This window comes from Homo sapiens, chromosome 9 (genome assembly GCF_000001405.40).
Source record: "Homo sapiens chromosome 9, GRCh38.p14 Primary Assembly".
NCBI lineage: Eukaryota > Metazoa > Chordata > Mammalia > Primates > Hominidae > Homo > Homo sapiens.
The window spans coordinates 83,901,712-83,919,491 of NC_000009.12; the positions used below are offsets into that span (position 1 = coordinate 83,901,712).

The 17,780-nt window shown below is 38.4% G+C and overlaps 1 protein-coding gene across 33 annotated transcripts in view; it reads right to left on the reverse strand.

Moving 5' to 3' along the window:
- Window positions 1-17,780, reverse strand: part of KIF27 (kinesin family member 27) — an 87,334-nt gene that overhangs the window by 67,613 nt on the left and 1,941 nt on the right. For 28 of the 33 annotated variants that reach the window (XR_007061328.1, NM_001271927.3, NM_001271928.3 and 25 more), the window contains 3 exons: window positions 13,583-13,967; window positions 6,741-6,941; window positions 1,349-2,307 (listed from right to left, as the gene is read on the reverse strand). Coding sequence is in view for 32 of the 33 variants with exons in the window: in NM_001271927.3 (NP_001258856.1) it covers window positions 1,349-2,307; window positions 6,741-6,941; window positions 13,583-13,880 (1,458 nt within the window). In the remaining variant the exon portion in view is untranslated. Of the gene's footprint in view, window positions 1-1,348; window positions 2,308-6,740; window positions 6,942-11,086; window positions 11,279-13,582; window positions 13,968-17,780 lie in introns of those variants that run through there. The other 5 variants (NM_001354070.2, XM_017014909.2, NM_001354071.2 and 2 more) reach the window with 5 other exon arrangements.

Consider the following 17,780-nt stretch of genomic DNA (forward strand, 5'->3'; position numbering starts at 1 on the left):
AAAATACAAAAATTAGCTGGGGATGGTGGCATGTGCCTATAGTCCCAGATACTCGGGAGGCTGAGGCAGGAGAATTGCTTCAACCTGGGAGGCGGAGGTTGCAGTGAGCCAAGATCACACCACCACACTCCAGCCTGGCGAGAGAGCAAGATTCCATCTCAAAAAAAAAAAATTGTTAGAGAATATTTTTCATTAAAAATGCCCTTTATATTAACATGGAATTGGGTTACTGTTAGTTTTGAATGAATAAATAGCTTAGATTTTTTCAGTTTTAATTCTAACACAGTAAATATCAACAGATATAACCCACATAAACAAAAGCTCTTTGAGGGATCTCGCTTTAAAAGTGTAAAGAAGTCGTCCTGTGATCAAAAAGTTTGAGAACTTGAGCACTGCTGTAACAGAGGATAATACAAATGCCTTCTTTATAATATTACATGTAAAAAGGCTTTGAGGAAATATGTCTAGCTAGATAGAGAAATAAGCTTAGAGCTTAAAAAAAAGGAAATATACTTAACTATATTTCCTTTTTAACTAAAAAGCTATCTTTTTAAGTTTTTCTACTTTGAAAAATGGACAGAACCATGGAAGCTGGGAACCATGTTGTCTCAGGAACAACTGAAGGACCATTCATTTGCTCACTAGCTTGCAAACTCCACCCAAGCAAGCAGTAACTAGGTGTGTCCTGTCCTCCACTATTCCCACGACATACAATCTTCACACAATAAACAGTTTCTGAATGAAAAGTGGGGAAATGTAAATCTGAACTCAATACACGTACATGTAACATGTATACATGTATATACCTACATTCCTTAAACATTAATAAATATGCTAATTTGTTGGTTTTTTTTAAAACCTATACTCCAAACACAAGAGATGAAGTATTTTTTTCTTTCAAGAACTACTGACCAAGAGAGGGAGAAAAACTCAGTAAAAGATAACTTAAGTTTTATTTCCGAAACAAGTTTATTTTCAGTCTCTAAATTGACAACCAGGTCCACAAAGTTCTATTTAATAAATATAACAAATTAAAATACACTTTAACCAAAGGAGAAAGGAGGAGGAGCCAAGAAGGGTATGAATTGTGAGGAGGAAGCAATAGGAAAGGGGAGGGTAGAAAGAACAAAGTAAGAGAGGCAAGTGGGATTCCATATATAAATCATTTTTTAAAAAAACCTGAAATTCCAAAATCACTCTTAGAATTTACTTGCCCAAATAAATTTAGTCCTTAAAAGAGTTATCCATAACAATGTCTAAATATGTTAACACATGTACCCCCAAAATATGTACATCTATTATGTATCAATAAAATAAATAAATAAATAAATAAGTGATGTCTAAGTACCTGGCATTTCTTAAGCTCTCTCTTCAGCTGGAGAACTGTAACATGCTGTGGTCCTTCTTCCAGACTTGCAGTGCCTCCGATTCCTCGAAATGAGGTGAGGACAGCCTTCCTGACCTCTTGGATCATGTTAAACCACTCCTGCAGTTTGTGTTGCTGCTTTTCGTTTAGTCTGACAGTATCTTTTAGGTCAACCAGGAAGGTAAAGGCTTCTTCTACACAACACTGGTAACCCAGACATTCTCCTTGAAGCTGAGCTACTTGCTCCTCAAGAGAATGAATCCTATTTGTATCAGGACTCCCTTCTCGATTGATCTGGGTAGTTTGGCTGACACCAGCCTGCTGGCTTTGCAAAGCTTCTCGAAGCAATTTAATCTCAAATTCCATTTCATCTATACGGTCTGACTCGGGGCTGAAGTTTACAGTGGGTTTGTTTCTAATGTTCCGTGCTCTGTTGGCATATTTGAGAGAATTTAAGGACTCATCAAAATTCGAGGAGGAGGGGCTGACACATGTGATCATGACAGTCTTAGCACTGCCTCCCAGAGAATCTTTCAGAAGCCGGGTAATTTTAGCATCCCTATATGGAATATGTGAACTCTTCCTGCGTGGGTCCCCAAGAGCGCTTATTACATTTCCTAAAGCCAGCAATCCACTATTGATTTGAATGGATTCTTTGAACCGTTCACCAGTATTCCCCGTTTTGGTTACTCTTTCTGATCCTGCCAAATCCACAAAGTGGAACTTTGAGACAATATGCCGAGGGGAATACCATGATCCATCTTCAGCTGCCTCCATATTTTTATGAACTTGACAAATGCTGATTGTAAAAATTGCATGTGATCTGCTGGAGTGCTCATTCATTTGAGTGGTACCTGTATGTCTGGCTGCATTCCCCATCTCCAAAAGACTCATCACTTCACCTGCACTCTCCACATGGCATTCCTTGGCCCCAACAATCACTTAAAATAGTAATAACATGTTTTTAAGCCAAGTTTTCATCAAAACCTAGTATAGTTAACAGTTACCATTTGCTAAACAGCCTGGCCAAGATAGTCCCTTTTTTAAAAAGTCAACAGCATTTCAGATAATAATAATAACATCAGCAACATCATCAAATAATTTTGGATAATCTCCCAAAGAAACTATTTTAACAGACAGCACTTATTTTGATGTTTATATTCTAAAAGCTACAATTTTTTGAAAAAACAATCTAGTTTATCTTGAGTCATGAGTCACACTCAATTCCTTAAAATGACTGACAAAAGAAAAACCCTTCATTCCAGTCTTTTGATTTGTAAAGCCTAATAGATTAATCCTTTTTTTTTTCTTGAGACGGAGTCTCGGCCTGTTGCCCAGGCTAGAGTGCAGTGTCACAATCTTGGCTCACTGCAACCTCTACCTCGGGTTCAAGTGATTCTCCTGCCTTAGCCTCCCGAGTAGTTGGGATTACAGGCATGCGCTACCACACCTGGCTAATTTTTTTGTATTTTTAGTAGAGATGGGGTTTCACCACGTTGGCCAGGCTGGTCTTGAACTCCTGACCTCAGGTGATCCACCTGCCTTGGCCTCCCAAAGTGCTGGGATAACAGGTGTGAGCCACTGCACCTGGCCTAGATTAATCTTTTATAAATTAATCAAATATATAATTCAAAAAAGTTAATCAGTAGATTAGAAGAATTAATTAGTATCAATTAAAAGGCATTCGTTTTTTTTTTCAGTTTTGTTAATAATCAAGCCATCCTTAGCTTTTATGTTTTTTGGTATCGTGAGGTCATAATCAATGAAGAGTAAAAAATTCAATACAAATAAAGTTGGTTATTCATTTTAAAAATAGGTATGGTTTATAAATAAAGTTGGTTATTCATTTTAAAAACAGGTATCTGTTTACCTTGCATCAGAGTGCAAGGTAAACAGATGAGATGGCAATTAAAAGAAAACACTTTGAACACCATAATGTACCATACTCAAAAAAGAAAAAAAAGTTTTTATTTCAATCGCAGAATGAACTAAAAATAACCTACATTTACTACCCGCATTATTTGTTTATATCCAAAAATATTTCTTTTTTTTTTTTTCTTGAGATGGAGTCTCGCTCTGTCCCCAGGCTGGAGTGCAGTGGCGCAATCTCAGCTCACTGCAAGCTCCGCCTCCCGGGTTCACACCATTCTCCTGCCTCAGCCTCCTGAGTAGCTGGGATTACAGGCGCCCACCACCACGCCTGGCTAATTTTTTGTATTTTTAGTACAGACGGGGTTTCACTGTGTTAGCTAGGATGGTCTCGATCTCCTGACCTCGTGATCCACCTGCCTCGGCCTCCCAAAGTGCTGGGATTACAGGCGTGAGCCACCGCACCCGGCCTATATCCAAAAATATTTCAAAGAGAAGTAGGTGGACTTAGGAATTGAATCAGAGAAGAAAAGCTCCTGATTTCATGCTCAAATTATATTGCCATAATTCCTCTTTACTCAGATACTGTCACATCACTATTTCTTTAAAAAATAATCATTTCAGTTTCATTATTTCCATCATGACACTTTTTAAACAACCCAGTTCATTTAAAGTCCTGTAAGTCATAGTAAAACTTTCATTAAATTTTTCCAGTGTTAGGCTATAAGTTAGCACTATGGTTCTCGAATCCAGATGCAAATCACCTGGTAGCTTTATAAAAAGAAAGTGCCAATGCCCAGGTACCATCTCAGACCAATTAAATCAGAATCCCTGTGAAGTAGGACCCAGAAATCAGTATTTTTAAAAAGCTTCCCACGTGTACTAATTGTGTGGCAGCCAGCATGGACATCACTGCTTCACACAGAGATTCTAAAGAAATATGTCAAACAAATGCACTTTACTTGTAAGTGGGACATTATGTAAGACATACTGTAATTTAAGATCATTTGTAACATCCTTCCAAAATTTTTTCAGCATTGATATCAGATATGAAGTATTTTGATCAAGTTTATCAAGAGTGATGGTGAAGTGTATATACTTCTATCCTGCTTGATATTTTACAAAGAAGCATGTATTATTTTTGTAACTCTTTAATAAAAGATGAAAACATTCAATAATTGTATTCCATAAGATAAAGGAGCTCAAAACATCAGTATGAATTCTATCCAGAAGAGATAAACTGTACTGAATTATCTAATAAGACCATAAGCTACCATATATAGTTTCTTCTTAAAAAACAAAAACAAATACAATTTCCTCAACCATGCAGGAATGCCAGGACAGGGCTATAAAGATGCAAGATTTGCTGCCTCCTATAGCCTGCTATTTGAATGACTAAAGCCATCTTACTTTCCTAACTTTCCTAACTGCTAGGAAATTCCCTCCTCTGGCAGGTTCTCCAGGAAGGTTCCACTAAATATGGTTTTTAGGGGAAGAAGACATCCAAGAATAGGCCAGGCATGGTGGCTCACCCCTGTAATTCTAGCACTTTGGGAGGCCAAAGCAGGCAGATCTCTTGAGCCCAAGAGTTCAAGACCAGCCTGGGCAACATGGTGAAACCCCGTCTCTACAAAAAAATACAAAAATTAGCCAGGCGTGGTGGCGGGCGCCTGTTAGTCCCAGCTACTCGGGAGGCTGAGGTAGGAGGATCACTTGAGCTCATGAGGTTTAGGCTGCAGTGAGCTGTGATTATGCCACTGCACTCCAGCCTGGCTGACAGAGGTAAGACCCTGTCTCCAAAAAAAAAAAAAAAAAAAAAGAATAGTCACTGCAATATTATTAATAATAGTTAAAACCTAGAAACAGCCTAAATGTCCAACAATGGAATATTAAATAACTATAAACACATTCATAAGACAAATTACCATATAAACATGAAGAGTCATAAGTATGAAAAATATTTAAACATATGTGAAAATATTCAAAATATAAATATTAAGTGAAATCTAAAATGCAAAACTGTGCGTAGGGTTGCAAGTATACATTTTTAAAAAATTATATGGGCCAGGCATGGTGGCTCATGCCTGTAATCCCAGCACTTTGGGAGGCCGAGGTGGGAGGATCACGAGGTCAGGAGATCAAGACAATCCTGGCTAACACGGTGAAACCCTGTCTCTACTAAAAATACAAAAAATTAGCTGGACATGGTGGCGGGCGCCTGTAGTCCCAGCTACTCGGGAGGCTGAGGCAGGAGAATGGCGTGAACCCGGGAGGCGGAGCTTGCAGTGAGCCCAGATCGCGCCACTGCACTCCAGCCTGGGTGACAGAGCAAGACTCCATCTCAAAAATAAATAAATAAATAAATAAATAAATAAATAAATAAATAAATAAATAATATGTACATAGAAAAATAATTCTGGAAGGAAACCCACCAAAAAGAGAAGTTGGTATTTCTAGGCGCTAGGATTAAAGATAATCTTTTAACTTTCTTCCTTATACTTTCCTGTTTTCAAAATACTCTATGATGAACATGTTAGCTTTTAAACCAGAAAAGCATAAATTGTTATTCTTTAAAATATTTGCAGTTTGAGCCTCCCATTCTAACCTTCTCCCATTTCCAACAAATGGGTATTGGTTAATGAAATTAACAGGCTACTAATGCAGAAAGTCAGACCTTGAGGAACACAACAAAAAAAAACAGGTAAATGTCAATATCAAAAAACAAAAATATAAACTCTCAACTTTAAAAAAAGAGGAAGAAGTATGTGTGCTGGGACAAAAATCAAAGAAAAGAAAGGCAAGTTCTGGGTCAACTTTGATAAACACTTAAAGCAAAAGCCACCTCCAATCTCATGGTAGAGCTGAGAGGAAGAAAGATACAAAAACAAATTTAGCCTATATCACAGTCTCATCTGAAGTCAGTCTAGAGGGAAACAATGATAGGAAATCAGTATCTTGCATTACAAATTAATAACTTCACCTTACCAACCAGTCTGAACTACTTTTTCATCTGAGTGATTTAAGAGAGATTAATAGGCTGGGAGCAGTGGCTCACGCCTGTAATCCCAGCACTTTGGGAGGCTGAGGCAGGCGGATCACGAGGTCAGGAGTTCGAGACCAGCCTGACCAACATGGTGAAATCCCGTCTCTACTAAAAATACAAAAATTAGCCAGGCATGGTGGTGCACACCTGTAATACCAGCTACTCGGGAGGCTAAGGCAGGAGAATCACTTGAACCCAGGAGGTAGAGGTTGCAGTGAGCCAAGATCGCACCACTACACTCTAGCCTGGCTGATGGAGCGAAACTCCATCTCAAAAAAAAAAAAAAAAAAAGAGAGAGAGAGGGATTAATAATAAAGCTGTTCAATTTAAAAGTAAAAATAAATTCATTTTGCTTCTGCATCTGTTTTTAAAGATTCCTTGGAATATATCCAGAAACTTAATTAAAGCATTAAAGCATGTCTGTTTGCTAATGAAGGCAACTGATTAAGTGTGCTACTTTACCTGTGTTTCCTTTTTCATCTTCTCGGATGTGAAGATCCTTCATGGATGTCTCCAATTCTAGAAGATCTCTTAGGTCTTCCTTGTACACTTCTATATAAGATACTTTTACATTAAAGTCAATGCTAGGATGTTCAGAGATGCTTTGAAATATTTCTTGAATAGCTCGAGGAATGATACCCTTTTGGCCCTCCACAACTGAAGCTGAAAATTTAGAAAAAGAAAGCACATCTGGAACTTAAAACAAAAGCAAAGCTACAACCCCAAATTTATAGTTAATTTATTTTACTACATTTCTATATATTATAACTTTTTTTTTTTTTGGCGGGGGGACGGAGTCTTGCTCTGTTGCCCAGGCTGGAGTGCAGTGGTGCAATCTCAGCTCACTGCAACCTCCGACTATCAAATTCAAGCAATTCTCCTGCCTCAGCCTCCTGAGTAGCTGGGATTACAGATGCCCACCACCAGGCTATTATAACTCTTTTAAACCACAACTATAAAATTAACAAGTAACAGTTTTCACATGTATCCCCTTACCAAGAATTTATTCATGTATTCATTGAACAAGTATTTATTTAGTATCTACTATGTGCCAGGCACTTTTCTAGGACTCTGCAATCCACCAATAAACAAAACAGGGAGAAAAGAAATCCCTTCCCTGGTGAGATTCTGCTAAAGACAGACAATAGCAAAAAAGAATAACTGATAAGTGAATTATATGGCATATTAAAAAGTGTTAATTGTACCTGGAGGAAAAAAAATACGGCAGGGTAGGGGGACTAGAAGTGTAACTACCAGCCGAGAGATGCTTGCAACTTTAAATAGGAAGGTCATGGTGGGCATCATTCAGAAGGTGACATCTGAGAAAAGACTTGAAAGAGGCCAAGCGCAGTGGCTCATGCCTGTAATCCCAGACTTTGGGAGGCTAAGGCATGCAGATCACTTGAGCCCAGGAGTTCAAGACCAGCTTGGGAAACATGGTGAAACCCTGTCCCTACTAAAAATACAAAAATTAGCTAGCTAGGTGTGGTGGCCCATGCCTGTAATCCCAAATATTTGGGTGGCTAAGGCAAGAGAATCACTTGAAGCTGGGAGGTGGAGGTTGCAGTGAGCTGAGACAGTGCCACTGTACTCCAGCCTGAGCGACAGAGGGAAACTGTCTCAAAAAAAAAAAAAAAAAAGATTTAATAAGAAAATATATTTGAAAAGTCCCAGGAATGAAACAGACATTAAGTGGCACAGGTGGATTTCAAAGCAGGTAGATATGGTAGAAATGTATATTTTAATATAAATGATAAAACTATATGGGGTGGCATTTTATTCCATAAATAGGCCATACTGTGGTGGCTCACACCTGTAATCCCAGCACATGGGGAGGCCGAGGTGGGTGGACCGCTTGAGCTAAGAAGTTTGAGACAAGCCTGGGCAACATGGCAAGACCCCTTGTCTACAAAAAATACAAAAAATTAGCTGGGCATCGTGTTGCATGCCTATGGTCTCAGCTGCTTAGGAGGCTGAGAAGGGAGGATTACTTGAGCCTGGGAGACAGAGGTTGCAGTGAGCCAGGAGACAGAGCCTAGGTGACAGAGCAAGACCCTTTCTCTAAATACATACATACATACATACATACATACATACGTACGTACTTACATACATAATCTTTCCCAATTCACTGTTCATTAAATACTAGATCCAGAGAGGTGGCCCTTGGCTCATAAAACATCATTCTACACAAAGGGCTTCCCCTGCCCAAAGCCACTCCACCTCTTGGATATTCACTACTACTAGTGGGAGCCACGTTATAAAAATGTTGGTGCTTTTAGATGATATATAATTTCTAAAGCAGAAAAGAGCTGTAAAAAGCAGGAAACTGACCCTAGGTAAGACCAATCTATTTCACAGTCCTTTGCACTAAAATATCTTTCTCTTTAGATCATTTATTATGGTCTGGGTGGAATCCCAATCACTGGAGCACAATTCATTTACGTTGGCAAGAATGCTTTTTAAAAAAAATTCTTGTATCATATTTCTTCACGTCACCAAGTGTATCTGTTCTGAGATTTCTGGATGGGGTGAAAAGGTGCAAGGAGCTTGAGAGTAGAAAGGGACAACAAGAAAAGACAGGGACGTAAGCCAGAGTTGATGGCGACAGAGAATGTGTGCAGAAGACAGGTGCAGAAAGGCCAGTTATGCCCAGGCCTAGACCCTCAGTTCAAGAATGAGGAAAGAAACATCTCTACACCTCTTCTCCTCCAGCACTACCTAAGCCCACAGCTTCTACAAACCAGAACACAGACCGGTACCATAACATCATGAGTAAACATTTATTTCTGCTCCCACTTGTTTCAAAAAGGAGTTAGAGCAGCTTTACAAATAGGCGTAGGAGGGACTCAAACAGATACTTCTACATCGGTGTTCACAGCAACATTATTTACAGGAGCTACAAGGGGGAAGCAAACCAAATGTCCATCAAAAGAAGAATGGATAAATAAAACACAGTATATACATACAATGGAATGTTGGAAAAAGGAATGAAGTTCTGATAGGTGACATAACATGCTAAGAGAGAGAAGCTAGACACAGAAGGAAAAATACTGTATGATTCCACTTCTTTTTTTCTTTTCTTTTTCTTTTTTGAGACAGGGTCTCACTGTGTCACCCAGGCTGGAGTGCAGTGGCACAATCATGGCTCACTACAGCCTTGACCTCCCGGGCTCAGGCGATCCTCCCACCTCAGCCTCTGAAGTAGCTGGGACTACAGGCATGTGCCACCACATCAAGCTAATTTTTTTGTTGCTTTTGTAGAGACAAGCTCTCACTATGTTGCCCAGGAGTGCAGTGGTGCCATCTTGGCTCACTGCAACCTCCACCTCCTGGGTTCAAGCGATTCTCCTGCCTCAGCCTCCTGAGTAGCTGGCACTACAGGCGCCCACCACCACACATGGCTAATTTTTGTATTTTTAGTAGAGATGGGGTTTCACCATGTTGGCTAGGATGATCTCGATTTTCTGACCTCATGATCCACCCGCCTCGACCTCCCAAAGTGCTGAGCTTACAGGCGTGAGCCACCACACCCGGCCCACTTTTATGTGTTTGGTTTTGTTTTGTTCTCTGAGACAGAGTCTTGCTCTGTTGCCCACACTGGAGTGCAGTGGCACGATCTCAGCTCACTGCAGCCTCTGCCTCCCAGGTTCAAGTGATTCTCCCGCCTCAGCCTCCAGTAGCTGGGATTACAGGCGCACACCACCACGTCTGACTGGTTTTTTTGTATTTATAGTAGAGATGGGGTTTCACCATGTTGCCCAGGCTGATCTCAAACTCCTGAGCTCAGGTGATCCTCCCAAAGTACTGGGATTACAGAAGTGAGCCACCACGCCTGGCCTCCACTTACATGAAATACCTAGAATAGGCAAACTAAAAGAGACAGAAAGTAAATCAGGGATTATCAGAGAATGCGGGGAGAGCTATTGCTTAATGGGTACATAGCTTCTGTTTCGGTGATGAAAACTTTGGAAATACTGGTTATTATTGCATTAACAATTAGTATATTTGATGCTGCAGAACTCTACACTTGAAAGTAGTTAAAATGGTAAGTTTGGTGATCTTTATATGTACTTTATTACAATTGTAAAAATAGTAAAAAAAAAGTGTATGAGATAAATTTAAAATAAGTGGAGGGAAAAGCTGAGACTTTAAAAGTTTCTGTAGGCTAATTTAGAAAACTGCCCATCATTTTTAGCATTGTTCCATGGAAAATGTATTCCAAGCAACAAAGAGTTGACTTACAAATGAAACTTAAAAACAACTTGCTTCCAAGTTGAAGATTACCAAAGTTCTGGTTTTTGGCAACAATCGTTCTGAAAATCCGAGTTTCCATCAACTTTGATGGCTGCCTTTCCCCTAATTTAAGAGGCAAGACTGCCATCATGTGGCAAGTAAAGTTAAGTTGTGGGTTTTCTTCTAATACAGTACAAAGGAAGATTCCCTTTTAAGAGCTTATAGGAACTAGCCTGTAGGAAATATCTAAACCTTTCAAACTCTAGTATAGATAAGCAATCTTGATTATCCAGAATAAATAATTGACCAGAAATAGTTCAGTTATTCCCCACATCTATAGATAACAAAGCACAATTTAAAAGACGTATCAAAAAGCTTAATTTCAAATATTTATAATAAAGCTCCAATATGTATTTTGATAATTTAAATATAAAATTTGCAATGTTAGTCTTATATTCCTGAAATAAACCATTTCCAAAAGAAAACCTGCAAAGTTTTATACCTCAACAACTCTCATTTAGCTATTATATGGTATTTAAAGAGTACACAAAAGTTTTTGGAAAAGGCTATACCTTGTAAAGGTAATTCCAACGTTCTGAAAAGCAGGAAAATGAATATTAGCTAAATAAGCATCATATTTAAAAATAAAGCCAGGCGTGGTGGTTCACACCTGTAATCCCAGCACTTTGGGAGACTGAGGCAGGGCGGATCACTTGATCTCAGGTGTTCAAGACCAGCCTGGACAACATGGCAAAACCCTGTCTCTGCAAAAAATTAAAAAAAAAAAAAATTAGTCGGGAGTGGTGATATGTCCCTGTAGTCCCAGATACTTAGGAGGCCAAGGTGGAAGAATCTCGTAAGCCCAGAAGGTTGAGGCTGCAGTGAGCTGTGATTGTGCCACTGCACTCCAGCCAGGGTGACAGACCAAGGCCCTATCTGAAAGCAAAATCAAAAACAAAAAACAAAGTGAGACTGTCTCTACAAAAAGGTTTTTAAAATAAAGTAAAATACATTTTAAAATAAGAGAGTTTCATTCTGCCCTAGTGCCCAGCACGGTAACCTAGACACTGCAGATGCTCAATAAATATTCACTGGAGGGGTAAAAAGAAAACATTATTTGCATGGTCTATAACCAAAAAGCTGACCCAGAATTGGTGTCCTATAGAGACATTCTGGGAAACATAAAATGCTCACTAAAACATCAAAAAATAAATCCAACTTTTTTTTTTTTGAGACAGAGTTTGGTCTGTTGCCCAGGCTGGAATGCAGTGGCACGATCTTGGCTCACTGTAGCCTCCGCCTCCCAGGTTCAAGCGATTCTCTGCCTCAGCCTCCCAAGTAGCTGGGATTAGAGGCATGTGCCACGACGCCCAGCTAATTTTTGTATTTTTAGTAGAGACAGGGTTTCATCATGTTGACCAGGCTGGTCTCAAACTCCTGGCCTCAAGTGATCTGCCTGCCTCGGCCTCCCAAAGTGCTGGGATTACAGGCGTGAGCCACCACGCCTGGTCTGAAATGATATTTTACATTGTTAAATGCAAAAAGAAAGTTACAGAATCACAGGTATAATATCTCATTAAACAAACAAAAACCCAAAAAACCACACAAGTGAGTAATATGCATCAAACTTATTTCTTTGGGGTGAGAGGAGCTGTCACTTGTTTCATTTCTTATGCAACACTTGCAATCCTTCTTATAATAAATATTTCTTTAATTTAAAAAAAGTAGAAAGAAAACACCATCCAAAATGTTCTTAATGGTCCTCTATTTCTTCTGATAGAGGGAACTTTAGAGCAATTAAAATATGTTAGGACAATAGATAACTTCAATAACTTTTTCCCTTACAAAATTAAAATAGTACTCATGGTCTCTTAATAATAAAAAAAAAAGATAGCTATAATTAAGTCACCAGCTTCTGAACATTTATAACTCCTATTGGTATAAAGCACATAATGGATCATTAGGATTATAAAACATTTGCCAATCAAAAAAAAAAAAACCCTACAATCCTAAAGAAAAGCCACAATTTATACTAGAAAAACTGAATTCTTTTTATTGTAAGACGCTGAAACAATCTAGTATCTGTGATCTCCTAATCCTGCAGAATATACAGATTGTTTTCTTTTAGTTGGAGAGTATTGGCTTCTTAAGGCTCCTCCATTTTAATCTTTGCAATAAAGATTTCCTGAAACTACACAACCACCCTCTGAGCCACCTCCCATCCATGCATTTAATGAGAGAAGTTTCTTTTTTAAAATTTTTTATTTTTTTATTGTTTCAGCTCATATCTGAACAGCTAGAGAAAAAAGTTTCTGAAAGCCATATATTTTACATTTGTGAAATATGAAAATAGAAAAATATTGAGAGCCACTATTCATACAGAGAATACTAACTAAAACTTTAGACAATGATGCATATGTGCACTACTCAAAAGTTTGTTTTTAGTGGAAAAATATAAATACAGTAAACAATCTTAACAGAGGACTTGGCTGTCAATTCCCCCACTCTATTACCAGACACTTAACTAAAATGATTTCCAAGGTTCCCTTCAGCTCTATATGAGATCCTATGATTCCATCTTTTCCAAACTACAATTATAAGCAGGAGAAATTATGTCCTAAAATATTCAGAATTTAAAAAAGAAATCTGGCTAGAATATGAAAAAGAAAAGATACTTTACATAATAAATTTTTCCTACGGTCCCTAAGTCCTGATTGCGGGACTCTTAATATTTACAACTGGCTTGTTAAAGAATGCAAAATCTAATCATGTTAACTCATTTATCTCTATTTTAAATTCTGTTCAAAATAACAAGGGCTGACCACTGAAAACTATTTTAAACTTCTTTCCTCAAGCAAATATAATCCTAAGTTAGATTGCTTAATGAAACTTCAATATTTAAAAACGAATCTTTCAAAGATGATGATCTTATGATCACATTTGATTACATGATTCATTCCTTCACTATTCAATCAATATGCTAAACACCTACCATGTGTCAGGTATTGGTCATATTTTTGCTTCTTTCTAGCGTCACAAATAAAAGTCAAAGAGTATAAGAATCTTACCAATATGGCCCCCTCCAATGGTGTATGTCTTCCCAGATCCAGTTTGTCCATAGGCAAAAACAGTTGCATTATAGCCCTCAATGAGTGACAACACTAGGGGCTTTATACATGTGTTATAAACTTCATCTTGAGTGGAATTTTTGCCAAAAACAAAATCAAAAGTGAAGACTCTATCTCTCCCAATGATAACTTGCTGGCTGTTTGGAATAACTCTCACACAAACTTGATGATTATGAAGAGCTTCTTTGCAAAGCAGAGGTCTAATTCTTACAGCAACTTTTACTGGTATTTCTTCCATGGCAACTTAGATTTTACTAAATAGATTTTCTATTTAATGTTCAGTATCTAGTGTGAGAGACTTCCATCTTATGTAAGATCTGGATTCCTGTGCAACAAAAATAAAAAGCAAATTTTAATTACTGATTCCTTGTATCCCAATAAACTAACCACCTTCTAAAGCAAAGTCAATTAGAACAGGTTTTGTTCCAATACAACACAGTTACAAAGAGTAAGCCTGTCTTGTAAAATACATCGTAAATTTGTAGACAAACTAGTATGTCTTGGGTTTGCTTCAAAATAATCTAGGTGTGGGGTCCATGAGTTGATAAATGATGAAGCTAGGTGATAAGTACATGGGATTCCATTGGGCCTTTATTTCTACAGTAATAATGTTTCCCAGTTCATTAATCTAAATATTAAATAACCAGGGAGTTAGAAAATTAAGGCAAGGAGATAAGTAAGGAACTGTACACACGTTTTTTTGTTTTTTGAGATGGAGTCTAGGCTGGAACGCAGTGGTGAGATCTCGGCTCTCTGCAACCTCTGCCTACCAGGTTCAAGTGATTCTCCTGCCTCAGGCCTCTCGAGTAGCTGGGGTTACAGGCGCCCGCCACCACACCCAGCTAATTTTTGTATTTTTAGTAGAGACAGGGTTTCACCATATTGGCCAGGCTGGTCTCAAGCTCCGAACCTCAGGTGACCCGCCCGCCTCGGCCTCCCAAGTGCCAGGATTACAGGCGTGAGCCACCGTGCCCAGCCTGTACATGTGTTAAAAACAAACATTAGTACTAGATTTTATAGCTATGCATTGAAAAATAGCATCTCCTCTTTGCCACAATTATTAGAAATAAATCCATGAAAATAGTTTTAAGAATTTCAATAAGTCAACATAAATTTAAAACTAAATTTGTATTCAAAAATAATCAAAACTAACAGAAAAACTGCTTTTTCTACTTCTAAATATTATGTTGTACTTATTTCTGAAGATCTCTGCTAGAATTAATACATTAAAATTTAAATTGATGGCTGTAGTTTCCTGGCTAAAAATATATATAAACAAATAATTGGTAACTACATTTACAATGAACACTTTTTTTTTTTTTTTTTTTGAGACGGAGTCTCGCTCTGTCGCTCAGGCTGGAGTGCAGTGGCGCGATCTGGGCTCACTGCAAGCTCCACCTCCCGGGTTCACACCATTCTCCTGCCTCAGCCTCCAGAGTAGCTGGGACTACAGGCACCCGCCACTATGCCTGGCTAATTTTTTCTATTTTTAGTAGACATGGGGTTTCACCGTGTTAGCCAGGACGGTCTCGATCTCCTGACCTCGTGATGCGCCTGTCTTGGCCTCCCAAAGGGCTGGGATTACAGGCGTGAGCCACCGCGCACGACAGAACACTCTTTTTTTTTTAAATATATATATTTTATTATACTTTAAGTTCTAGGGTACATGTGCACAACGTGCAGGTTTGTTACATATGTATACATGTGCCATGTTGGTGTGCTGCACCCATTAACTTGTCATTTACATTAGGTATATCTCCTAATGCTATCCCTCCCCCCTTCCCCCACCCCACAACAAGCCCCAATGTGTGATGTTCCCCTTCCTGTGGCAGAACACTCTTAAAAATAAATGTAAAAAACAATTCCATTTACAATAGCATCAAAAAGAATAAAATACTTAGAAATAAATTTAACAAAAGATGTGTAAAACATATAGTCTGAAAACTATAAAATACTGTTAGAAGAAAGCACAAGATGTAAATGAAAAAACATCTCATGTTTATGAATTGAAAGATATATTAATATGTCAGTATTCCCCAAATTATCTACAGACTCAATGCAATACCTATCAAAATGTCAGCTGACTTAGTTGCAGAAATTGACAAGCTGATCCTAAAATCACAGAAAAACTCAAGAGACAGAGAATAACCAAAACAATATTGAAAAAGAACAAAGTAAGAGGACTCACACTTTCCTAATTTCAAAACCAAACAACAGTAATCATGATAGTGTGGTACTGGCATAAAGACAGACATATAGATCAACAGAATAGAATTGAGAATCCAGAAATAAACCCTCACATTCATGGGCAAGTGATTTTCAACAAAGATGCCAAGACAATTCAACTGAAGTATAAGAATACTCTTTTCAACAAATGGCACTGGGACAATGGATAAAATAATGAAGTTGGACTCCCTACCTCATATCATATACAAAAGTTAACCAAAAATGGACCATAGACCTAAACATAAGAAGTAAAACTACAAAACTCTTAAAAGACAGGAGTAACTCTTTATGACCTTGGATTTGGCAATAATTTCTCAGATATGACACCAAAAGCAATAAAATAAAAAATACCAATTTGAACATTATACATTGTATACATGTACTGAAAAATCACACTGTACCCCATAAATATGTACAATGATTTTGTCAAACAAAAATAATAATAAAAGCAAAAAATAAAGATGAAGTATAGATTAAAAAATAAGTAAGACCCAGCCTGGGCAATATAGTGAGACGCCATGTCTACAAAGAAATTTTTTTTTTCAATCAGCTCAGCATGGTAGTACGCACCTGTGGTCTCAGCTACTTGGGAAGCTAAGGCGGGAGATTGGCTTGAACCCAGCAGCCAGAGGTTACAGTGAGCTGTATCTGCACCACTGCACTATAACGTGGACAACACTATAATGTGGACAGCAGAGCAAGAACTTGTCTCAAAGAGAGAGAGAAAGAGAGAACGAGAGAAATGGGGGGGGGGCAGGACAGGGAGGGAGAGGAGGGAGGGAGGGAAGGAAAAACGACATCAAAATTAAAAACTTTGTGCCTCGAAGGAAACTACCAAGAAAGTGAAAAGACAACTCACTGAATGGGAGAAAATATTTGCAAGACATATATCTAACAAGGAACTTGCAACTAGAATATATAAATATTATAACTCAAAAAGTTTTTTAAAAATTTTAAATAGGCAAAGCATCCGAAAAGGCAGTTCTTCAAAGAAGATATACAAATGAATAATGAGCACATGAAAAGATGCTCACCATCATTAGCTATCAGGAAAATGCAATCAAAATCACAATGAGAGGCCAGGTGCACAGTGGTTCATGCCTGTAATCCCAGAATTTTAGGAGACTGAGGTGGGAGGATGACCTGAGGTCAGGAGTTCAAGACCAGCCTGGACAACATGGTGTAACCCCATTGCTACCTAAAATACAAAAATTAGCCAGGCGCAGTGGCTCAAACCTGTAATCCCAGCATTTTGGGAGGCCGAGGTGGGAGGATCACCTGAGGTCAGGAGTTCGAGACCAGCCTGAACAACATGGTGAAACCCCGTCCTTACTAAAAATACAAAAATTAGACGGGCATGGTGGTGGGCGCCTATAATCCCAGCTACTAGGGAAGCTGAGGCAGGAGAATCGCTTGAACCCAGGAGGCAGAGGTTGCAGTGAGCTGAGATCGAACCACTGCACTCCATCCTGGGCGATACACCAAGACTGTCTCAAACAAACAAACAAACAAACAACAACCACAATGAGATACCAATCCACATCCACTAGCACTGCTATAATAAAAAAGACAGATCATAAGTGTTGGCAGGGTATAAAGAAATTAGAACCCTCATACACTATTTGTGGGAAGGTAAAATGGTATAGCCACTTTGGAAAACAGACTGACATTTCTGCAAAAAGTTAAACATACAGTTATCTCTTGACCCAGCAATTCCACTCCATCAAATGATCCAGCAATTCCACTCCCAAGAGAAATGAAAACATTGTGTTCGCATAAAAACTTACATACAAATGTTCAGTTTTGGAAGGATAAAGCTTATACAAAATTTAACAAGTAATCTATGACAATGTTTGAGTGCAGATGATGAAAAGTAATGAATTTGAGGTGAGGTTAGGTTCTTTGGAAAAGC